Source organism: Homo sapiens, chromosome 1, assembly GCF_000001405.40.
Source record: "Homo sapiens chromosome 1, GRCh38.p14 Primary Assembly".
NCBI lineage: Eukaryota > Metazoa > Chordata > Mammalia > Primates > Hominidae > Homo > Homo sapiens.
Genome location: NC_000001.11, coordinates 25,541,787 through 25,565,284, shown reverse-complemented (window position 1 = coordinate 25,565,284; position 23,498 = coordinate 25,541,787). Strand labels below are relative to the sequence as shown.

Here is a 23,498-nt window from a genome sequence, read left to right as displayed (position 1 = left end):
AGGTCCCCAGGAGAAAGGGCAGCAGGGCCAGCCCACGCACACCAGGCCCCCTACCCAGCACAGGAAGCTAGCATTACCTCGAAAACGCTTCATCCAGGCCATCATCCAGCTCCTTGGGGAAAACAAAGCAGGAGATAAGAACTATGTTTGGGGGAGCCCATGCTCACAGCTGGGGCTTGTCCCAGCCCTGGGTAAGCTACAGGGACTCAGGACACAAGCTCAGGGTGGGCGCCTGGAGGCACGGCCTCAGGCAGGCCTCCTGCCTGGGTGCATCGCCAGCATCTCAGCCCAAGGACCCAAAGCTGGAGACGTGGGAGAGGAGAAAGGCCATGTCCCAGGGTGTCTGGAGACCCAGGTGGGTTCAGTGCCCTGGTCCATGCTACCTGCCCGTGAGACCTTGGGCAAGTCACTGCTCCACGTTGAAACTCAGCTTTTCCTTCAATAAGAGGAGGGCATTGGACCTGATGACTTCTATGGCTTTCAAATTCCAAAAGGAAGAGGGTGGGGAAGGGAGTTTTCTTGCCTTCATTTACTTCCAAAAGCCAAGCCAAAATTCCAAGTTCATGAGGGATAACTGATGCCAGGAGTCCCACAGCCTCAGCAGAAAAGCGACAGGTGAGGTCCCTCCATGGCCTTCTGGTGAGGATGGGCAAGTGGCAAGGGTGGTTCCCAAACAGCAGAGAACAGGCTCGAGGGACACCAGGGGAGCCCCCAGTACCCAGATTTTTAAAAATTAAAGAGACGACAAGTTAACATGTGATTCTGCAATGGATCCTGGGCCAGAAACAGGACACTGAAGGGGCACCTGGAGAAATGTGTAAGTTCTATAGATTATATAACAGCACAGTATCGTGTTTGTTTCCTGATTCTGACCAGTGTAATGTGGTCATGCAAGATGTTAACAATTGGGGAATCTGGATGACGGGTGAACAGGAATTCTCTGTACTAATTTTGTAACACAGTCTGAAATTATTTCCAAATGAAAAATTAAAATTAAATTTCAGGTTCCTCGGGGAGATTCCGTTGGCAGAGGTCATCACCCTTACTGAGATGAAAAAGCTGAGACAGAGAGGTCAGGGGGCTTGCCCTGAGTCCCTGAGGGAGTCAGGGACCAAGCTGGTGACTGCCCAAGTCTCTGGGTCCTCATTCAGGCGGCTGAGGGGGAGGGGTGGTAGGAGCGAGCTCTGCCACACCAAGAACAAGGGCGCCTTTGGCTGGTCTTGTGGTGGGCAGAGCCGTGGACGCTCAGGCCAAGAGGCCAAGCATTGTGAGGAGACAGCTGTGCTGGGAGCCAAGCCTGTTGGGGATGCAGCCTCAGGTTCAAAAGGGACATTGTTCATCCCCTATCCTGCGCCTGGGCACTACCGGGCTGGGTCTGGTCCTCCCAGAGGCCCACAAGTCACGGGTCCCAGGGCCTGGTCCCTGGAGCAGCCCCAGGCTCACCCAGAGGTCAGGCTGAGGATCACCGATCTGCTGGCCACACAACCACTCACCCAGACAACACTGCTGCCACTCAAGGCTTGTGGCCGCGGCACCTCGTCCATGTTGGTGGTGTTGGCGCTGACCGTGGACAGCGGGGCCTTAGCTGTCTCCTCTAAGTCCAGCAGGTTCCCAGTGGCGACCACTGTGAGGGATCCGGTCAGGTTGTCAGTGGGAGATCAGCCTCTTCCTTCCTGGCCCCCTCCCTGGGCTGTCCTGGCCCTGACCCTCCCCTCTGATGTGGCCTTGCCCAGGCCTCCCAGCAGAGCCCGGCCCTGGCACCTCCCCACAGCAGATGCGCAGCTGCCCACAGAGTGAGAACCTGACTAATGGCTTAGACTGAAACTTTTGTATTCACAATAGTTAAGTTTTCTTAAGCAACCACACAATACTATGTTAAGTATATAGAAAGATAGACGCATATTTATATATTTGCATAGGGACATATCTAGAAGAAAATGTACTAAAATGAGTTATTTCTTCCCCTTATCTACATTTTCTAATTGATCTGTAATGAACGTGTATTATTTATTTAACAAAACACAAGTGAAAAACCAAGAGGCTCTCCCAGCCCAGGCAGGAGTGGGACCCCCCTGGGTGAAGCGCAACCCCAACACCGCATGGCCAATCCCCCTTCCCCGTCAGGACTCACAGCTCTTCAAGGAGGGGGTGCAGTCTTGGCGGGCCCCCAGGACGTCCCCTCCCTCTTGGCTGGCTTTGTCCCTCTTCTCTTTCTCTGCAGGACCAAGGCACAACATGTTGGAGCCTCAGACCCCAGCACTCTGTCCCCAGCAATCACCGGGCAGGGGTGATTAGCGGTGGCCAACCTCAAGGGGCAGTTTCAGGTTTCCAGCCGGGAGGAAAGAAACCTTTCGGATGTCAGTTAATCCTCACAAGCACCTTTGGGGAGGGAGACGGCTGTTCCCATTTTTCAGATGGGAAAACCGAGACTCTGAGCGGTGAAGGGACCTGCTCACAGTCACAAGCCAGGTGGGTGATGAGGCAGGAAGTCGGTCCAGGTCTGACCCCAGGGCCTTTATGTGTCTCCCCACCTCCCACCACACCCACAATGTAGATGCAAAGTCTCACCTTCCTTGGACACCTGCCAAAACTCAAAGGCGACTTTGAAGGCCTGGGCTACGGTGAGGGTAACAGCCTGTGCCTGAAAACAGGAAGTGGGGATGGGGAGGGGTGCAGTGTCAGCCAGGGCAGAGCAAGTCTGCACTGGAGGGCTGGGGCCTCCAGGCCAGGCCCCCTGGCTCCCTCCCTGCAGCTTCTGCAGCTCCATCCCAGGCTCTGGAATGCCTGCTGGGCAGAGCAGGGTCCTGGCCCTTCCCAGGTCTCCAAAGCAGCCTGGGGTGTCATAAGGCCATAGCCTCGCAGAGGCAGTAGAGTCCCCATCTTTACTATCTCTGGCCCCACCAAAGTTCTCACTCTCACTCTAGGGCCCCTGCCTGCAAAGGCTGTTCTTCTCCAGGTCTTTTCCTTCCCCTTTGGGCTTCCCTGAATTCAATGAACTGTGAGGCTTACTTCCTCCAAGAAACCCTCCCTAATTACCTGTGGACTTAGCCCTTGGAATTGGAGAACAGAAAAGCCAGAATTGGAAGGGCCCAGCCATTGCCCCAAATGAGCCACAGCCAGAGAGGTGAAAGTTAGGTTCCGGTTGGGACCATAACTGGATCCCACAAAGAGAGTAGAAGGCTTGTCAATTTCCTGATAGGAGCAAGATGTCAATGAAGGCCCGGGGACCAAAACCGGTCAGTGCTATAACCCACCTGTAAGGAAGGGCCACACCTCGGCCCTTCACCCCAGGGGAACTCTCCCTCACCCCTCCAAACCCAACTCAGATGTCACCACCTCTCCTGTCACCAGTCCCAGACTCCTCGAGCCCCACCCACCTCCCTCTGGCACTATGCATGTGAAAGTGTCACTGGCTCCCCTGCCTGTGTTTCCCCCAGCTTTGTGCACCCTAAAAGCAAGAATCAATCTGAACACCCCTGCCCTCGGGAGCAGGCCAAAGCCTCCCAGAGGTGGCAACAATGCTGGGTGAATTACATTCACCTGAGGTGCAGGCCTCATTCCACCCAGGACCTATCCCCAGCCCATATTCATCTCAACACCTTCCTCTCTCAGCCATTCCAGTCCAGGGTTAATCAGCTCAGCTTCTGGGAGTGGAAGTCCCAGAGTTCGTAGCTATAGCCGGAAACATCTAGCTTCCTTCTGAAGCCCTGGCTGAGAGAAGAAAGCACCAGCCTCTTTCAAGTCTACAAGTTCAGGCCTCACCAGCCTCAGCCCCGCTCCCTGCCCTCCCCCAGACAACTCAATTTAATTGAGAAATGGACCTGTGGCCACTGCCTTTAAAACTCCTTTTAAAAAAATATTTAAAATTCCTAAACAAACTGACTGATCCGTGCCAATTACACTTCACGAAAGTATAAAACCTCATTTGAATGTCTCCAACATTTACATTTTTGATGGAAGTACAGGCACTTTATGGCAAAACTTAAATATGGTAATTAAGTATGAAACTCTTCGCAGCTGTTTACAATTTAAGCTGTCATATCTGAATCAAGTTTAATAGACCCAGTTACCATTGAGAATTGCCCATGAACTAAAAATATGGGCTAATTACCAGCCCAAGTCAGATCACTATCCACCCAAGCAAGGGCTGGACACCCAATGTGGCAGGGATATGAAAACGCCATTATTTAAGCCTGCTGGAAATCTGGAGACACAAGCTTAGACTGTAGTTGCATAAATCTGATTGTTCACTTGCATACATTCCTACCTTTTTGCCCTGAAGTCCCAAGCTGTAAGTTAAACTGAATACAACCCAAGAGGTGGATGTGTGCAGGTAGCTGCAAGCCCAGGCTGGGCAGGGACTGGGAGTGGGGTGGGCCCTGCTTCCTGGGGTGGCTGCAGGGATCCGAGGACCAGCATTAGGTGGAGGGACTGCTCAGGCCTGCCCAGGCGGGATGCCCACCCCTCCTGACTGCCTCTGGCCTTCGGGTCTGCCTTATTATCCTGAGTGGATGCTACCTTGCCCAGTTTTTCACATTCCTTGTTCCCAGGAACCAGGCTGCTCATGGCTCAAAAGGGGCCAGAAACTCAAACCAAGACAGCCACATGCCCCCCAGCAGCCCTGCTGCCCCAGAAGCAAAAACCTTGCACAAGGATCACTCCAAGATGCCAATGGTCATGGGGGAGGGAGCAGCCTGGCCCCGTGCTGCCTGGGTGGAAATGGGGGTAGCACTTTGCTTACCATCAGCCCAGGCCCAGCACCTGCATGACACCTTCACTTTGGAGCCCAGAGGCCTCCCGGTTGGGCAGATGGAAGGGATTCCCTGGAGGAACCCTATGCTGGCTGTGCCCAGCAGCACCAGGGAGGGGAGACCTGGGGTGGCTGTGCTGCCCCAGAGTTGAACGGACTGGTGGGTGATGTAGAAAGGAGCCTTTCTCCCCCAACCTCAATGGGTCATGAACTCATTCCGGCAGCCCAGCCAGGAAGAGTAGGGATGTGGAGGCCCCCAGCCACAATGACTGACGTTTTGTCAACATCCCGATTCAAGGCCCTCAACATCCTGATTCAAGGCCCTCAACATCCTGATTCAAGGCCCACTGCAAACGGAAGCTGCCTCACCACCCACCCCAGGGGAACCATTTCACTTCGCCCCTCTGCGTTTGCACGTGTGTTAATCCCATGCTGGTGTGCACTCCCCACCCACCACCCCACCCCCTTCTCTCGGCCTGGCAAACTCCTCCTGGCTCCTCAGCCTTCAAAGCCCCATTCAAGGTGTCTGTCTCAGGGAAGTCTCACTGACTCTAACTTCAGGGAAGTTAGTGAGATTTACTACCACCCCAGAACTAAGCCCCCCTGGGTTCCAGGTACTGATGCTGGGCTGTTCTCTACCGCCTTGGATGTTTTCTCCATGGCTCAGGCCAGGACAGACGGTGCCAAACCTCTGTGGCGGAGCTGCCAGCAGGTGCGGAGGCTGACGCAGCTATTCCATCTCCTGCCTCCCCCAAGAACACTTCCACTTAGCCCAAGAATCTAGGATTTCCAACATGTCTAGGCCACCAACACACTGTCAGCCTGGGTTGGGCTAAGACCTTGAGGTAGCAGGTGATGTATTTACACCATGCTGGGCTGCGCTGTCTTGGAGAGGGCTCCGCAGGGCCCCTGAAGCAGGGAGGCCAGGTAGCAAAGGGTAGGGAGATGGATAAACCACTCCAGCCATCAACCCAACCTGAGAAGAATACACTAAGAAAGATGAAGAGTTTGGGTGTCTGGCAGGGGCCCTTCTGCTGCCTGGTCAGGGCTCTGCAGTCAGTGGCTGAGCAGCGGCCTGGCTCTGTTTTCCTCGTAACTGACCTCATGGCCTGAGGGTAGGCTGATTTCACTCAAGTCTGTGTGAAGTTCTCTGACCACAGGCCAGGTCTCCCTTGTAAGAGCTGGGCCTGCACCTCTCTCTTACTCCCAGACCCCTCATCCCAGAGGAAGCCTCTGCACCGTCGAAGGCCCCTCCCACCCAGGGCCAGCTGTCCCTGCCCAGGGCCTGCCCTGGTCAGCGGGCAGGAAGAGATGAACAATGGGGACATAAGGAGCTGTATTTTTAAGTCTGTGTGGCCTCCTAAAAGACAAAGCCACGAGTCACATCTGTGGGAACTCACAGGAGATGCCACAGCAACTTGGAGCCCTGGGACCTCACGAGGCAAGTGGCCAGTGACACTGAGTCTGCAGGAAAGAAACAAGGTGTTCAAAAGAACCCGGGGCCTTTCAGAACAACCCTGGAGGTCACTGAGGCAACCTTCTCATTCTGCTGATAGGCAAGCAGCCCAGAGAAAGGCAGGATCTTCTCCAAGGTAACACAGCAAATCAGCCAGGAGACCGCTAGACTGTCTCCTCCTACAGTGCCTCTTCCATGACACCTGTGGTGGGCTGAATCGTGTGTCCGCCCCCAAGATGTCCACATCCTAATCCCTGAGACCCGTGAATGCTGCCTTACACAGCAAACGGGCTTTACAGAAGTGAGTTAAGGATGTGGCGATGGAGATTATCCCAGATTACTCAGAGTGTCCAAATGTCATCAGAAGGAGTGCTGAGCGGGGTAGGAGAGTCAGAGCTAAAAGCAGCAATGTGACGATGAAATCAGGAGACCAGAAGATGCTACATTGCTGGCTCGGAAGATGAGGACAGGCCCACAAACCTGGAAATGCAGGTGATCAGTCTCTGGGAGGTAGAAAAGGTAAGGAAATGGATTCCCCCCAGAACCTCCAGAAAAAAACACAATCCTGCCGACCTAGTTTAGACTCCTGATCTACTTCTGTCACAGAATACATTTTTCTTCTCCATAAGAGAATACATTTGTGTTTTAAGCCACTAAATTTGCGATCATTTGTTACAACTTACACAATATCTAAAGTGTGTCCTGATGGGCAGCAGGAAGCCTGGGGACCACAAAGACTGTGATGTACCTGACATGTCCTTTGATGACAGGGGAGGGAAGGGGATCTTGTCTCCTAGGTTCCAAGGGCTATAGGGCATGGGGACTGGGGCTCAGAGCTGTCAACAGAGGTTAACAGGTGTCAATGCTACATCAATGGATGTCAGGAAGCACCTTATAGGGAGAATGCTCAGATCCTGGGGGTCTCAGAAACAAAAGCTGCAATGCCAAAGGTTGACCCACTCCACTTCTTGCCCCCAAATTCAGGACAAATCCCCCGTGACCACCAAGGTTCCCACTCATCCCAGCTAAGATGTGGTCAGGGGGTGTCCTGGAAATGAGACAAGGAGCTCTGAACTCCCCAGTCACGCAGGGAGGGGAAGAAACGTGGGTTTAAACCCCCACTCTAACCCTGACAGCAAGATAGCTGGCCTCTGGGAGTCTGTTTCCTCATTAAAACTTTAAAAAAAAGAAGAAAAAAAAATGGAGAGAGTAACAGTTGCCACCTTGCAGAGCCGTGAGAATTAAACGAGTGAAGACCTGGAAGCCTAGCACTAGAATGCACACACAGGAGGCACCGAGAGACGGTCACTGTCCTCCACACTCTGGTCACAGCTGGAATGAACTCACAGGAGGCACCAAGAAACAGCCATTGCCCTCCACACTCCAGTCACAGCAAGCCTGGTTCTCTGACGGCTCTCGCCTTTGCCTTCCACCCTAGGCCCCCCTGATCTCCCATTTCCGAGGACCAATCACCAGAAGGCCCTGCATCCCTAGACCATATTAAAGACAGGAGATCCAAAACAATCTCAACCCAGCAAATCCCGTTACAGAGAGAACAGGCCCAGACACACACTGGGGACATGGGCCAGCTACTGCCCACACAAAGCTGACCGGCGGTTCACCTGCCTGCCTGCAGCCCCACCACTGTACCCCTTAGCTCTCGGCACCCACTTGGGGTTCCCAGAGATTTCACCCTCTTCTTAAGTAATGGTCACCTTTGGGTCCTGCCTCCCACACCAGACAGCCCCCCACCCAGAGCAAGGCTGCCAAGGCCACTGGACCCTGTCCCCGCCCCAGCCCTCCCCGCTGACCATCTTCCGCTTGGTGCAGAGGAAGGCGTGGCACTCGAGGCTCTGGTTGTGCTGGCTCTGGGCGATGTATGCAAACACCTTGTCGTGCATCTTGTCTGCTGTGCAATAGGAGATCCTGAAAGGCAAGGAGGAAGCATCACCAGACCTGGCACAGGGGCCTGAGCACATGTGGGAAGCCCTGCAGGGCAGCTCCCCTGAGTTGCAGAGAACCTGCTATTCCCACTCCACCAGGGCAGACTCTGGGAATCCAGCCTTGGCCTCCAGGCTGGGTACCTAGGCCATCTGTGCAGGAGGGGCCCAGGCCAGGCAGGAAGGAAGGAATGGGGTAAAGACTGGAAGCAGGGCACTTCCCCCTCTCCCTCCCATCCCACACTGAGCCACACCCCAAAACAGTAATAGCTGAACCCTTACCACATACCAGGCAATGTGCCAAGAGCTTTCTAGACCTCACCTCATGTGATTCTCAAAGCTACCCTCTGAGACGGGTTCTATCACTATCCATGTTTTTCAGATGAAGTAAACTGAGGCTAAAGACCTGAGCCCAGACCTGAACTCACTTGTAGGACTCCAGAGGCCATGACTGCCATGCTGCCTCTTAAGGCTGTGTGCCAACTGGCCAGAAGGGGAAGCAGAAAGCAGGACACTCCCCTGCTCACCAATGCCCTTCACCTGGCCTCCCCCACCCCACCTGCCCTCCGATCCATGCCCCTGCCCAGAGGTCTGGTGAGATTCAGGTCCATCTCTCTCAGGGTGACTGGGACACTTGCAAGTTCTGGAGCTGTGGCCAGGGGTGAAGAGCTGGGAGTAGGGGTGGGGTGCGTGTGTGACGAGGACCCAACAAGGAGCCCCAGTGGGCCCGGGAGGAGACACACAGCAACTCCCTCTGCATGGAGCACCCTCTCTGCCCCCAGTCGCACCTGTAACCTAGGGGCCACCCGAGCCCTCGGCCTCCCACCCTCCCTCACTTGTCTGGTCCCTCCTCGTTGCCTCCAGTCAGCCTCAGAGTCTCAATCGGGGAGGGGCCGGTAGCCCAGAGGTGGGGCAGGAGCACCACAGACTCACCCCTCAACCCAGAGGTGGGACAGGAGCGCCATAGACTCACCCCTCAACCATGTGGCCCCAGCTTCAATCACAGGCATCAACACCCCGGTGGGCAGAGCGTGAAGGTGTTAGGTCCCTGCCTACCTCTTCTCCATCCCAGGGGGTCCAGCTTCCTGCTCTAAATGTTACTGGGTCCTTGGTAACAACAAACTAGATCCTATTATTCTTCAAGCCCCAGCAAGGTGCCGCCTCCCCTGGGAGGCCTTCCGGGATTTCCCCAGGCAGATCTCCTCCTTGCCTTTTTGGAACACTATGCTCTATCTCCTGTTTCCTCCCGACTATACCCAACTAGAGTGGAAGCTCCTTGAGGGCAATGAGCAGGATTGGAGTCCTCATCTGGCACAGACGTTGGCAGAATAGGTATCTGAAACTGTTGACTAAAGGAAGGCAGGTATGATCAGGCCGGTGAGAGGAAGACATCAGCCAGACCCCCACAACACACATCTACTGACCCTACTACTGGCCTGTGCACCAACGGGCTGAGCCATCTGCTTAGAGACAAAGCAAGAGGGTGGAGGGATGCCAGGCAGACGGGAGCCTGCTGGACAGGGCTCTGGCCCGGATATCCTAGTTCCAGTTTAGCTACTACCTCACTGTGCAGCCTTAGGCAATTCCCTCTCTGGGCCTCAGCTTCTCCATCTGTAAAATGGACCTGAGCTGTCCCTTCCAGTTCTGAAAAACTACAACTGACCAGCCGAGAGAGGTGGGGATAGTCTGAGGCTCTAAGGGCTGACCAGAGGACCCACTAGAGAGACCATCTATACTCTGACTTCAGACCTTGGCTGAGGCCTCCCTGGAATGTCTGGCCAGATACCCAGAGCTGAGCTGCTGCATTCACAGCAGAAGGAAAAGGCAGTGACTCTGCAGTTCTCTGCTCCAAGCCCGACTCAGCGGCATGCTGGTGGGGAGTAGGGGGGAAGGGCACGGGTGGGCTCAGCTGTCTTCTGCAACTGGTGATGATGACAGCAGCAGCTGCCACTTAACCAAATGCTCATCATGAGCCAGGTGCCGTGCACTCCACGTTTCCTAACAGCGCTGTGCAGCAGGATCTGTTCCCACCCCCATTTTACAGATGAGGAAACTGAGGCTCCAATGTCACCCAGGTAGGAAGTGGTAGAGCCTGGATTCAGATGGGATACTCCACCCACTGCCCCAAGTGGCAGAGTGGATGGGCCAACCCCATGCTGAGCGTACCTGTATATGGACACGTTCTCAATGAGCTGGTTGGTGAGGTTGTCTGTCAGGATAATTCCCCGTGGCGACACCTTCAGAGTCACCTTCTGCAGCTTCTTCCCACTGGCCTTAGCCTTGGGAGCAGACAGGAGTCAGAGGAGTCTGCCAGCCTCACTTGAGACCCACCCTCATGGCTTACACTTCACTGTTCCTAAGCCCCAGGCACGGGGCCCATCTCAGCTCAGGTGACTGGCAGCAGTGTGGGCAAGACCACTCAGCCAGCACCTTCTTGCAATAGAAACAGGAGCAGCATCTGCTGAGCACCAGCTATCTGTCAGGCACCGTGGACCTGGAGTCATCCTCCCTCTCCCCAGAGATGGACTCAGAGAGGCTAAGGGACTTACCCAAGGACACACAGCTAGAAGGGCCTGCAGACTCGGCACTGAATGAGCTAGCACAACCCAGCAGGATGACTCCTGAGTACTCTGCTCCATCCATTGAGCTGAGGGGTCTGAGGCCACCAAGGGAAGTGGATTTAAAAGGCCCACCCTTGCTCAAAGTTAGGGAGGGGGCAATCTGCTCTCTGATGGGCTATGCTGTCTCTCAGGCCATTGGGCAGGTAGTCAAGGGAAAGCAAACTCCCCACCCTTCCTGGTGCTGATAAGTCACCAATGCATTGGTAGGGAGCCTGAGCTGGGGGTGGGGAGGCTGGAAGAGGCCATAATGGCTGGAGGGAAGCCACTAACCGTGACCTTGCAAGTCCAATGGTTCCCCTCTGCCAAGGCCCAAAAGCTGGATGGAAGGAGAATGAAGGGCAGGGCCAGGCTCAGACACACCCAACTGGAGTAACAAGCTGGGACGAGGGCACCCTGGGAAGAAGCTGGTCCTTGGTCCCTGGTTCCCCCACCCTTCCTGACTGGGGTGCTCACTGTAGCCACGATCCTCTTGATGGCGGCGGCCGACAGCTCCTCACCCTTGGGCTGCTCCACTAGCGTCATGCCCAGGTACTTGAGGCTGAACAGCATCCCCTCCAGCAGCGTCTCCCGCGTGTCTGTCCAGTTCTCAGGCAGCTCTGGGGTAGCACAGGGTAGGCCCTCAGACCCTGCGGCTCAGGGCCCACCACCAGCAACAGCTCTCACCAGCCTTCTTTCCTAGGAAACCCCAGCAAGGGGGATGGGGGTCTCCCCCACCACTACTGCCACTCTTTTTTTTTTTTTTTTTTTGAGACTGAGTTTCACTCTGTCACTCAGGCTGGAGTGCAGTGGTGCGAGCTCAGCTTACTGCAACCTCTGCACCCCAGGTTCAAGCGATTCTCCTGCCTCTGCCTCCCGAGTAGCTGGTCTCGAACTCCTGACCCCAAGTGATCTGCCCGCCTCAGCCTCCCAAAGTGCTGGGATTACAGGCATGAGCCACCGTGCTGGGTCTGCTGTCACTTTTAATAAAGGGCTAAAGCTTTCCGGCACATACCAAGGCTCCATGTAAGCAGCTTTACATAAAATGTTCTCATTAATCCTCCTAAGAACCTATGAGGTCAACGCTTTAATCAAACCCATTGACAGACAAAGACACGGAGGCCATGGAGGCTCAATCACATAACCAAGTCCAGAGAGCCAGGAAGTGCAAGAGCCAAGTTTCGAGCCCTATTTTCAAGCCCTGAGCCCTCTTTACTTCAATGCTACCACTTGCTGAGGGCAAATCATACCATTTCTTACTGAATCCTTAGTGCAATCCTGTGAGACAATGATTCTACAGATTAGGAGACTGAGGCTCAGGGAGGCAAAGTCATGAGATGAAGGCCACATACAATGAGTCGGACTTCAACCCTGAGCGGTTCCCATGGCCCCAGCCTGCACTGCTTTCCTCCCTGTGCGCATCCGTAGAGACCAACAGGGGCATGTGGGAGGCTGGGCAGGAGACAGTAGCCCAGGGAGAGCAGGGAAGGGTAAGGGTGGGTGGGGAGAGGAGAAGGCGATTTCCCAAATCGGAGAAGGTTCGAGACCCACTCTGCTTCCCACCCCCTGGATGGTCCTAGGGAAGTCCCCTCTCCTCTTTGGGACTAACATTCCCCCCTCTCTGGGCTGTGACAATGGTGCAGAACAGAGTCCACAAGGAGAGTTCTCTAAAAGCACCAACCACACAAATGTCAGGAAATAAGGGGATGAGCCTGCCTCACTGGGTGGGCAAATGGACCAGGAGGGACACGTGGAAAGAGCGCCCCACCACGTAGGTGAGGGCCCCGTGGAGGCAAATGGGCATGAGGGCAAAAGCAGGCTGCACTGACAGTTTCTGACCATCCCCGGCTCCTCGGAAGGAGGACATGAAGAAAGATGAATGAACACCTCACACTTCCACCTGCCAGAGCCCCTTCCTGTCCCCTACCTCTCTGTCCCATTTTACAGAGAGGAAACCCTCACAGATGCTGTGCTTGTAGGAGGTGTTTGTTATGACTGCACCATTTTACAGATGAGAAAGAAAACTGCTCTTCAGCCTCACACACAATCTTGTTGAGGACAGAGCAGGATCCAGCCAGGAATCAGCTTCCAGGGGCCACGAGAGGTAGCCAGGGCCAGCTTCCCTAGACCATCCCCCAGGGAGGGGCTGGGAGATGTCCTGGGCCCTCCCTACCTCCTCCTGAGGCCTTCCTCACTGGCTCTGATTGAAAAGCCACAGGAAGAAAGTTTGGGTATTGCTAGTTCCAGGGCAGCTGAGGCTCTGGCAGGGATGTGGGCCCCTACTACAAGGCTCAGCTTGGTTCTGGAGTTCCGGCTCTGTCAAGAGCAGAAGTCTGGGTCCAGGTGGCATCACCAGGTCCCCTACCCAGTCTGGATCCCTGCTGCCCCTCTCAGCTCCTATCCTAGAGCCCTGGGCCTCCAGGGGCTCTGGTCCCCCTCTCCACAGCCAGAAGGAGCCTTGTACACCCACATTTCTCTGGATTTGCCTTGAGCAAGCCACTGTCCCTCTCTGAGGCCATTTCTTCATCTGAAAGAGGGTGCGGGTGTCAGGGCTGGGGAGGGTTATACAGGAACTTACAGATGTACCCAGTTCCCCTCATGTCTTGAGATCAGGTGAGCAGGGACTTACTGACTGTCATCTAGAACCTGGCATGCAGGTAGCGCTCAATACTCGCTCAAGGAAGAAATGACGAGGACAACCCCATCCCATCCCCAGCCCTGGCCCCAGGCCCAGTGACCCTCCAGCCCTAGATCTCATCCCTGGGCCTCCACCCCAACATGAGGCCAGGTCTCCACTGAGATGACCCCAAAGCCCAACATGACCTTATCCTCTGTCCCATCAACCACAAGCCTATTCCATTTGATCCTCCAAAAGAATGTGAAAGTCCCTGAGATGTCCCCAGTCCTGGGTTGAGTGATGGGGCCCTGGAGCAACTCAGACACAGACCCTGCTCTCAAGTTCAGAATAACAGCACCATCATCAGGGAAAAACAGCGCTTTCATATAACAAAGATGCAACAATAATAAAGCCATAGCTATTACCATCACCTCTAACACTCACAGCCACCTTGCAAGCAGGCATTCTCTCATTCCCATTTTACAGAGAGGAAACTGAGACTCAAAGGACTGACTCTAAAGCCCAAGCTCCTGACCATGAGACCATACTACTTTATCATGCAGCAAACTACCTTAATTCTAGCAAAAGATCAGGTTTTTGGAGGCGGAGGCATTTCTTCTCACCTGGAATTAGGTATTCCTAATACCTAAGGCTTCCCCTCTGCAGGCTAGGATACCCAGGCCACCAATTTCAACCTGAGACCCATCTAAGCAAGGACAGCAATGGAAAGAAGTGCTACTGTGCCTATGACCCGCACCCTTGGCAGACATTGATAATCAATTGCAGCTCTACTTCCCTCTGATCCTTTCTCAGCACAAGGCCCCAGGCAAGCAATACTAATTGATCAAGGTTTGAACATCTCATTATCCATCCCTACCCCTGGCAAACATTCTCCACTCTCCCTCTCCAGCCCCCATTTTCATGTCCCCATTCTCCCATTTCCTCTGGTTCAGCCCTTTCCTGGCCCCTTTCCAAAGTCACTTCCGCTCCCTCCATTCCAAAGAACCAAAGCCTGCCAAGGTCACTGGTGATCTCTCTGCTGTCAAAACATTCCCTAGTCCTCCCTGACCCCTGAAATGTTCAGCATTTTTCTGCATTCCTCCTTCCCTGGCCTGACCCTTCCCCTCCTCTAACCACGTCCTTACAGACTGGTTGCCACTCATCAGCCTTAGGCCCTCAGCTCAAGCCCCTCACTTGATGATACAACTGAAGCCCAGACAGGGATGGGACCTGTGCAAGGTAACATGGCAAGTCAGAGGGACTCTCCTCACCCCACCCAGTCCACTATAGACAATCCCCACAATGACCAGTGACTGTGAGGGAATTTTAAGTTTCCCCGTCTCTTCTCCCACAATATCCCTACATACCCCCTACCCCAAGAAGCTCCAACCATGCAGAGCTTCTTCCTAATAATGTAATATTTACTGTCTAACTTCTTTGCCTTTGCTCAAGTAGTTCCCTCTATCCTAAATGCCCTTTCTTCACTTGATCAAACCCCACACATCCAACCTCTTCCAGGAAGCCTCCTTTGAGGCAATATAGCCTCGTGGTTAACAGCAAGGCCTTAATCCTAAGATATCAGCTCCAATGCTTCATGTCTGAGTCATCTTGAGTGAGCTCATTACCCTCCCTGAACCTCAGTTTTTCATCTTTAAAATGGGGGAAACAACAGCTCTGACTCCTGGGGGCTGTTGTGACCCTTGGATAAGTTTATAGAATTTAGCAGAGAGGCAGGCCCATCGCAGTTGCTCAGTACACCTTCCAGTGGGGCCTCATCCCTCCTGTGGGCGGGCTGTTGGTGCCTTTCTTGACTGTAAATCTCTTCTTCCTCCTGCAGCCACACCACCCACTGCCAAGCACTGCCTACACGTCTCTTCCCTTTAAAGTACCTGCCATTCATGTCTGCTTCCCCAGGACCTGGCATGGAAGCGTGCGCCTGCCCAATGTGGCCGTCCAGTCTGGTCCTGTTTCTCCCTTGTACCCCATGTTCCCAGGCCCCACTGAGATGCTCCTTTCTCTCTAGGAAGCTGCTTCCCTCCTGTGGTCTGTGCACATGACTCATGTCTTCACTAGAGCGTAAGGCCCCTCATGCCCACACCCTCCCCACAGAAACCAGCACCTGGGAGCTCTCAGTGAAGGCCCATTGGTAGGGCTCAGGGCCACACCCGCCACCCGCCCTACTCGCCAGCCACAGCCGGAGGCCTTATTGCCGGGAGGAGCCCACGGCTTCAGGAGGTGCTCCCAGAGGCCCCTGGGCAAATACAGGCCTGAGTGCACAGCCCTGTTCCGGTCCTAGTTATTTTTGGCCCTGTAGTGGGTAATGACTGCGCTATTTTAACGTTGCAATTTTACAGATGACCTGCTGCTGGAGTTAGCTGGGGACAGACCATATGCCTGGTCTAAGGTCTAAATTACAGCTGTGAACACGTGTTCTTTCCTTGTTAAGGTCCCCCAACCACCCGGGAGTCAGAGCTGGGCTGAATGCCCTTGTGCCCGTTCTGCTGCTCCCAGAGACCCTGCCTGGCTGGTGTGTCTGCAACATCAGAGCTGCAGCCAAACCCAGGGGCCAGGGGAGCCTCCAACCGGGGCTCTGGCCTCCAGCCTCCCCCAGCCTGGTGGGGAGATGGCCTCAGAGGCCAGAGTGACAACATCTCAGAAGAGGGCTCAAGCTCTGCCCTGACCTGGAGTGTAGCTGCTTCTCTGGGCTGTAATTCTATCTGACAAATGGGTTCATCCCCTCAGGAGCGTCACCAGAAGTTTCTGGACGTGAAAAGTACTAGGAAAATTTCAGAAGTCAAAGCTGTTGAGATTGTTATCAAAAGAAAATAATTTTTAAAATGACAAATTGCAGCAGCTACCATTTCCTAAGTACCTACTTACACAGTAAGAGAAAAATATGCTATGGGCTGTGGAGTTCATAGTCACTGAACCTCCCTGGATCTCAGTGTCCTAACTTTAAAACAGGGACAAGACAGGCACAGTGGCTCATGCCTGTAATTCCAGTGTGCTAGGAGGCTGAGAAGGAAGGATTGCTTGAGGCCAGGAGTTCAAGACCAGCCTGGACAACATGGTAAGACCTCGTCTCTACAAAAAATAATTAGCTGGGCGTGGCAGTGTGCACCTGTAGTTCTAGCTACCCAGGAGGATCCCTTGAGCCCAGGAGGTCGAGGCTGCAGTAAGCTATGATCATATCACTGCATTCCAGCCTGGGCAATAGAGTGAGACCTTGTCTCAAATAAATAAATAAATAACAGGGACAATAGGAGTATCCACCTCAGCCAGGCGTGGTAGCTCATGTCTGTAATCCCAGCACTCTGGGTGGCCAAAGCAGGTGGATCACTTGAGGTCAGGAGTTCAGAACAGCCTGGCCAACATGGTGAAACACTGTCTCTACTAAAAATACAAAAAAATTAGCTGTGTGTGGTGGCAGGCGCCTGTAATCCCAGCTACTTGGGAGGCTGAGGCAGGAGAATCACTTAAACCAAGGAGGTGGAGGTTGCACTGAGCCAAGATCCCACTGCTGCACTCCAGCCTGGGCAACAGAAGGAGACTCCCTCTTAAAAAAAAAAAAAAAAAAAAAAAAAAAAAAGAGTATCCATCCATGGGGTTGTCTTGAGGATGAACTGAGTTCACACCCGAGGTGAGCTTAGAAGCTTGTCTGGTACATACCAAGTATCACAAGTGTGAGCTACTGTCATTACAGTGGTCAAATGCAAAGAGATTTAACGTGTCCATGACCATTCTCATATTGAGAGAAGAGTCCAGGATAGATCAGTGTTCCCATTTCACAGATAAAGAAGCTCAGAGGAGTTTGACCATGGCTCATAATTGACAGCACTGGGACTTCAGTCCATACCTGCCTCCTGCAGCCCAAGCCCCTTGCTGGGGTCAGGCAGAGCCCTGCAGGGCTGCTCAAAAAGAGTATCTGACCCTCAGTGGGCAGTGGGTGACCTCTGACTCCTTCAAGCCACATGCCCCTCACACAGCCCCCAGACCCGGGAGAAGCAGAGTCCTAGCCTCCAGTTCAACATTCCCTGCACTTGCTGTTCCCTCTAGCTGGAACACTGTTCCCAGACTCCTCCCTCCTGGGATTCACCGGTGTGTACCGAGTCACCTTCTCAGAGGGACCTTCCCTGGTGCTGTCAGTGGCCGCCCTTATCCTCCCTGCACACCATTTCCATGTTGTGCTGACTGCCAGTACCTGCCACTCTGCCTGCTGGAGATGCTGAGGCTGGCGCAGACTGGGGAATGAAGATCTCCCGACCCCAGGAGTCCTCTCCACCGGGCTTCCGGGAACTGCCCCTCCAGTGGAACGGCTCTGAAGAGCACGTTCTACACTGCCTCCCACAGTTCCCACAGCGGGGTTAAGCTCCAGGAGTCCCTGGTGGTAATTTGCTTTATTTATTTATTTATTTATTTATTTATTTATTTATTTATTATTTGAGACAAAGTCTCACTGTGTCCCCCAGGCTGGAGTGCAGTGGCGTGATCCCGGCTCACTGCAACCTCTGCCTCCCAAGTTCAAGCGATTCTCCTGCCTCAGCCTCCCAAGTAGCTGGGATTACAGGCCTGCACCACCCCACCCAGCTAATTTTTATATTTTAAGTAGAGATGGGGTTTCATCATGTTGGCCAGGCTGGTCTCGAACTCTTGACCTCAGGTGATCTGCCCACCTTGGTCTCCCAAAGTGCTGGGATTACAGGCATGAGCCACCGCGCCCTGCTGGTAATTTGCTTTATAATGCCCACTTTGTGGACTCCCCTCCCTTCTCACTTGTCCTAACAATATTTCCTGCCATCTTGTCCCAAATAAATGACTTGCACTCCAATCCTTGTCTCTAGAGGAACCCAAATGAAGACACCATCCTATCTTACAAAGCTGTCCCATCATTTCCTCACCCTGCTTTATTTTTATTTGTCCTGCTACCAATGTCCACAACCACACCACTGATCTACACCCTTGTTGTGGTGCACCAGACTGTAAGCCACAGATGTCCAATCTTTTGGCTTCCCTGGGCCACACTGGAAGAATTGTCTTGGGCCACACATAAAATATACTAATACTAATGATAGCTGATGAGCTTAAAAAAAAATCACAAAAAAACCCATAAGAAAGTTTATGAATTTGTGTTGGGCCACATTCATTTGCAATATCCTTTATTATAAATATTATAAATATGATTATATCCTCCCTCCCTTGCCTTCCACCATGAACTAGCTTTACTGGAACCTGCACCTCCTATTTCTTCACCCCTTCTCTCTGGGTAAGCACAACCCACAAAATAACCGGAGGGCCTGAATGATCCCAGTACCTCTGGAAAGAGTGCTGAGGGGCCAAGGTGAGCCCCTCTTCCAGGCAGCTGGAAGGAAAATGCCTGGCCAGGGACTGAGATAAAATATTGATGTCTCCCCAGGGGATAGGAAAAGCCATGTGTGGGAGAGGAAGAGAGCCCTCTTTCAAGGTCAGGACAACCAGGAATCCACTGCAGGCATGAAGCTGGGTGGAAAGAAGCCTGGGGTGCTGGCTTTGCTGTGTGACCTCAGGCAAGGTGCTGCCCTTCTCTGGGCTTCTTTCTCCACAAATAAGCAATGCTCATGCTAATCCTAGTGAGGACCTTGAGGAGGAGGAGCAGGTCACAACTGAGAGCAGGGTTCGAGTCTAACTTTAACTCCACTGGCTTCAGTTTGGCCTCAAAACTCAACCACAGGGACCAGGTCCAAGGCCAGGCTGGGTCACAACCCTGAGCAAGGTGACCCTAGCACCCCCACCCCCACATACCCCATGGCCCCTGCTCTAACCTGTGGCCACTGCTGTCAGAGGCTGCCAGCCCAGCGTGGGGTAGGTGGGGCCTGCTCCCAGCTCCTCCCATGGCAGAGTTCACCAAGCACACTGGTAAGACCCCTGCGCTAGGAATGTGGAGCTCTGCCTCTTAGATGCTCTGTGTCTGGAGCCAATGACTCCAATGCTCAGAGTCTCAGTTCCTTTGTCTCTAAAATGGGTCTGCTCTGTCACCTCACAGGAGTCAATGAGAGAATGGAAGCAAAAACAGGTTGTAAAACAGTTACAAAAGCAGCAGTTACCATTTACCAAACTCCTCCTCTATGCCAGGCAAACGCAATTCCACTTGATCCCCACAAACAGCTGGAGGCAGGTACTACTGTTATTTGCAATTTACAGGTGAGGAAATTGAGACTTCATCACGAGGGACAGGTGGGGCTCGGCCTGCCCTCCTTCAGATCCAGAGGCTCCAGGACAGCACTTTGGGCTTACCAGGGCCTGGAGGAGGGGGAGAGGTGCTCCTCTCCTTTCCTCCAAAGGTGCAGACAGGCTCGGGGCCCCCAAAACCCATCTCACCACAGTACTAATCATGCTGGCAGCGTCCCAAGGATAGGCAGGGGGAAGAGGAGCAGGGGAGAAGAAAGCCACCAGTTAGGAGGGAGCATTATTACCAATAATCTCCTTGATACTCCTGCCAGGTAAGAGTTTTTATCCCCATGTTGCAGATGAGGAAACCGAGGATCAGAAAGGACAAGTGACTTGCTCAAGATTGAAGATGGCAAGAGAAATTCTCTTCCACATCCAAAGCGGCTACCTCTTCCACGTCCCCAGATTCAGAGATATTTCTTTCTAGCCTCCCTTCCCTTGCCAGCCCCCCTTCCTTCAAAACCACTTCCCTGGGGGCTGCCCCACCACCCTCCCTCCCTCATTCCTGGAGAAAACCCGCAGGATTCTCCCACTGGAACAGATGGCCATCTCAGAAGTCCTGGTCAAATCTTGCCAGTTTTTAAAGGGTCTATTTTGGGATGCAATCAGTGTGATAAACGGTACATCCCCTGGCCTAGTGGCCCAGCCCTAATGGGTCTCTGACCCCACCCCCCACCAGCAGGCACCACCCCACATTCCCAATGCCAATGCCAGTCTCAGCTGGGAGGCGGCCACAGCTGAACAACAGAGTGGGGCCAGAGGAGGAGGGAGGCGGGCCCTCTAGGCCCAGACACGCTGGCACTCCTTGGACCAGGGAGCTCGGGCTCCCCTGGCAGAGCCCTGTAAGGCCAAGAGGGGATGGGATGAGGGGGTGCTGTACTGTCAGTTGTTTCCTGATGAGGGGAGAAGCTGTGGCCCGAAGTAGGTGGCAGGGAGGTGGGAGTGTGCAGCAGTCCTGGGCTCTGGCTCCAAAACCAGCAGGAAGGTGTGTGTGACCCCAGGCAAGCCACTCTCTTCTCCCTCCCAAACAACGAGACCTGCGCTAGGCTGGGTCTTCTGGCTTCAGGGGAAGGTGCCAGGTGACAAGTTCCCTGAGCGTAATCAGAGACTGGGGGAGAGAAAGGGGGGGAGGCCCCTCCCAGCCTCCCAGACGCCCCAGGGAGAGGTGGCGGCGAGTCTGTCGTTTGCCTGGGCACCCAAGGGACTCTGGAAGCCCGAGGGGAAAGGTGCGAGAGAAAACAGGTTTCAAAAATAGTCGGGACGCCAGGCTTGCCACCTGGACCCGGCTAGAGGAAGGGACGTAAGGGTCTAGATCGCCTGATGTGGGGCTCTCCCGAGGCACCCCAGGCGGGGCCTCGTTCCCAATTTCAAGTACGTACCTGCGACCCCGGGCTCACACCTGGATGGGTGTCTGGGCACCCGGAGTCAAAAGTTGGCCCGGTGGGTCGGGCAGGGGGCGGGAGAACGGGCCAGTGGGCTCCTGACCGCCGCAGCTGCTGGCTGGGGCGCAGGGGTGCGGGACGGGGGCGTCTTCCCAAGCCCCTGCGCCCTCTCCTCCTCCCCTAGGCACCGACGACGAGCGCCTGCCTCCCCCTAGCTGGCCAGGACAGCAGGGCGGGAGGTGCCGCGGGTGGCGGGGGCCTCTTCTCCCAACCTGCACCCCACCCCATGCCGGCTGCACCTGAGGACCCCGAGCTCGGGCTCCTTCCTCAGCGCTGCCCCTCCTCGCAGCGGCATCGAGCGGCCGGCGAGTAGGTGCACAACTTGACCCCGGCCGACCCCCTGCCCCGCAGGGCCGGGAAAGGGCCACGCCGGGACCGGAGCGCCGGTGAGGCCCCGCCTCTGCCCAACTTGGCCGCACTCCGGGCGCCCGCGGAGGCCCCGCGCGCCTCTGCCCGATCCCGGCCCGGCCCGGCTGACGCGCGCACACTCACTGCGGTGCCGGCCACCGCCCCCCCAGCTCTGCTTGGCCAAGCTGGGGCTCCGGATCAGCGCCCGCCCCGCCGACTTGAGCGCGTCCATGGCCCGCTCCGGCCGCCGCCGCCGCTGCCGCAGCCAAAACTCCGTCAGGAAAAACTTTCCGCCCGGCCCTGCGGCGCGCGGGCTGCGCGCTCCTCCCCTCCCAGCGCCAGCTCCGCCGCGGCGTCCGACGGGGCGGGGCGAGAGAGGACAGGCCCCGCCCCCAGACGGGCCGCGCCCCCGACGGCCGGTCTCGCCCCGCCCGGTCCCTGTCCAGGCTCCAGGTCCAGGCACCAAGAGTTTCCGAGGCCGCCCGAAGGCGCCAGAAGATAGCAAATCGCAAGCCCTAGACGCCCCCGCTTTCCTCCTTTTCCCCAATCCCCACCCCGTAGGGGCCTGAGGGCCTGAGAGCAGCGGCCTAGGATTTCCAGTGACCATTTTACAGATGGGGAGACTGAGGGCTCCTCCAGTGGTGAAAGATCTTGTTCAGGGACAAAAGCAATGCGATGTCCAGGGCAGTGGGAGACTTAGGAAATAGTGGAGGCTGTAAGCCAGGGATATCCAAACTTTTGGCTTCCTTAGGCCACATTGGAAGAAGAAGTGTCTTGGGCCACACATGAAATACACTAACACTAACGACAGCTGATGAGCTGAAATATATATATATACACACACACTCATGTTTTTTGTTTTTCTGTATTGTTTTTTTTCCCCTGAGACAGAGTTTCACTCTGTTGCCCAGGTTGGAGTGCAGTGGTGCGATCTCGGGTCACTGCAACCTCTACCTCCCGGGTTCAAGCTATTCTCATGCCTCAGCCTCCCGAGTAGCTGGGATTACAGGCATGCACCACCATGCCTGGCTAATTTTTGTATTATTAATAGAGATGGAGTTTTACCATGTTGGCCAGGCTGGTCTCGAACTCCTGACCTCAAGTGATCTGCCCGCCTCAGCCTCCCAAAGTGCTGGGATGGCTGTGAGCCACCACACCCTGCCCAAAAAAATCTCATAATGTTTTAAGAACCTTTACCAATTTGTGTTGGGCTCCATTCAAAGCCGTCCTGGACCTCACATGGCCAGTGGGCCACAGGTTGGACAAGCTTGCAGTATAGACCCTTGTTAGGCGCAGGGTCGGTATATAAAAATTTGCCTTTAGCAAGTCCAGCCAGGCACTTTACTCATCCTCGTAGCTCCCAGGCTGCTCCCTGGCACCACCTGAGCATGCTGGGCCACCCCATGCCCCCGCAACTTCCCAGGTAGCCTCACAGATGGTATGATCTGGAACGTGCCCCTGACACTGACTTGCTGTGTGACCTCAGGCAAGTACTTCCCCTCTCTGAGTCTTGTTTATCTGTGAATGAGAGTCAATGCTATCTCTAGTGATCCTTCCAACCTGCCAGGGTCAAGAATCTGCATGACCTTGACCCTGACCCCAAGCTGCTTCCTAGGAGCATTCGGAGGGCAGTCTGAACCCCAGAATTGCTCAGGCACAGATGTTCTAACTCCAGGATTGGAAGGATTTGTTCTAACTCTCTAGGATGCCATGCCTTCCTTTCAAACTGTGCCAAAAGGAGCCAGAGGGAGGACACACACATCCAAGCCACAGCCTGGCTTCTTTTAGAAGGGGGTGCCTCAGGCAAGGCCAACTTCAACCTCTGTAATTACTCCTGGCTCAGAAGCCAGCAGTCCTCTCTGTGTCGGGAGAAAGATAGTGCTGTGCTGTCCCCAGCTGGATAGGGCGGCCTCACTGACATTCCCCTGTTTATAAACCAAGTGCTTTGTTAGCCAGTCTGTCCTTGGCTTCCCCAGCAACACTGCTTAGGTGGACCCACTTTACAGATGACAGCCCTAGGTCAGGGAGGGAAGCATTCACTGATAGTCTCCGAGAGTCAGAGACTGGGATCAGACTCAGGCCCATAGGCAATGGGGTAGAGTATAATGCCAGGGGTTAGAACCCAGCTGTCCTTCTGGTGGTTG

At 54.6% G+C, this 23,498-nt stretch overlaps 1 protein-coding gene across 16 annotated transcripts in view, besides 5 other annotated features; it reads right to left on the bottom strand.

Annotated features, from left to right (window-relative positions):
- Positions 1 to 21,679, bottom strand: part of LDLRAP1 (low density lipoprotein receptor adaptor protein 1) — a 46,795-nt gene extending 25,116 nt beyond the window's left edge. For 6 of the 16 annotated variants that reach the window (XR_946603.4, XM_006710560.5, XM_006710561.5 and 3 more), the window contains exons 1-8: positions 21,499 to 21,679; positions 11,221 to 11,363; positions 10,313 to 10,425; positions 8,018 to 8,132; positions 2,569 to 2,641; positions 2,132 to 2,215; positions 1,494 to 1,624; positions 78 to 112 (exon numbers count right to left, since the gene is read on the bottom strand). Coding sequence is in view for 14 of the 16 variants with exons in the window: in XM_006710560.5 (XP_006710623.1) it covers positions 78 to 112; positions 1,494 to 1,624; positions 2,132 to 2,215; positions 2,569 to 2,641; positions 8,018 to 8,132; positions 10,313 to 10,425; positions 11,221 to 11,363; positions 21,499 to 21,586 (782 nt within the window). In the remaining 2 variants the exon portion in view is untranslated. Of the gene's footprint in view, positions 1 to 77; positions 113 to 1,493; positions 1,625 to 2,131; positions 2,216 to 2,568; positions 2,642 to 8,017; positions 8,133 to 10,312; positions 10,426 to 11,220; positions 11,364 to 15,249; positions 15,423 to 20,943; positions 21,335 to 21,498 lie in introns of those variants that run through there. The other 10 variants (XM_011541211.4, XM_011541212.4, XM_011541209.4 and 7 more) reach the window with 5 other exon arrangements.
- Positions 1,414 to 2,041: an enhancer, noted in NCBI's record as "H3K4me1 hESC enhancer chr1:25889735-25890362 (GRCh37/hg19 assembly coordinates)". NCBI's record gives its function as "activates a minimal SCP1, AML or CMV promoter by ChIP-STARR-seq in naive H9 embryonic stem cells {active_cell/tissue: H9 hESC(naive)}" and the evidence as "EXISTENCE:reporter gene assay evidence [ECO:0000049][PMID:30033119]".
- Positions 15,173 to 15,786: an enhancer, noted in NCBI's record as "H3K4me1 hESC enhancer chr1:25875990-25876603 (GRCh37/hg19 assembly coordinates)". NCBI's record gives its function as "activates a minimal SCP1, AML or CMV promoter by ChIP-STARR-seq in naive H9 embryonic stem cells {active_cell/tissue: H9 hESC(naive)}" and the evidence as "EXISTENCE:reporter gene assay evidence [ECO:0000049][PMID:30033119]".
- Positions 21,180 to 21,359: a silencer, noted in NCBI's record as "silent region_457". NCBI's record gives its function as "represses an Ori minimal core promoter by ATAC-STARR-seq in GM12878 lymphoblastoid cells {active_cell/tissue: GM12878}" and the evidence as "EXISTENCE:reporter gene assay evidence [ECO:0000049][PMID:35858748]".
- Positions 21,390 to 21,849: a silencer, noted in NCBI's record as "silent region_456". NCBI's record gives its function as "represses an Ori minimal core promoter by ATAC-STARR-seq in GM12878 lymphoblastoid cells {active_cell/tissue: GM12878}" and the evidence as "EXISTENCE:reporter gene assay evidence [ECO:0000049][PMID:35858748]".
- Positions 21,950 to 22,009: an enhancer, noted in NCBI's record as "active region_459". NCBI's record gives its function as "activates an Ori minimal core promoter by ATAC-STARR-seq in GM12878 lymphoblastoid cells {active_cell/tissue: GM12878}" and the evidence as "EXISTENCE:reporter gene assay evidence [ECO:0000049][PMID:35858748]".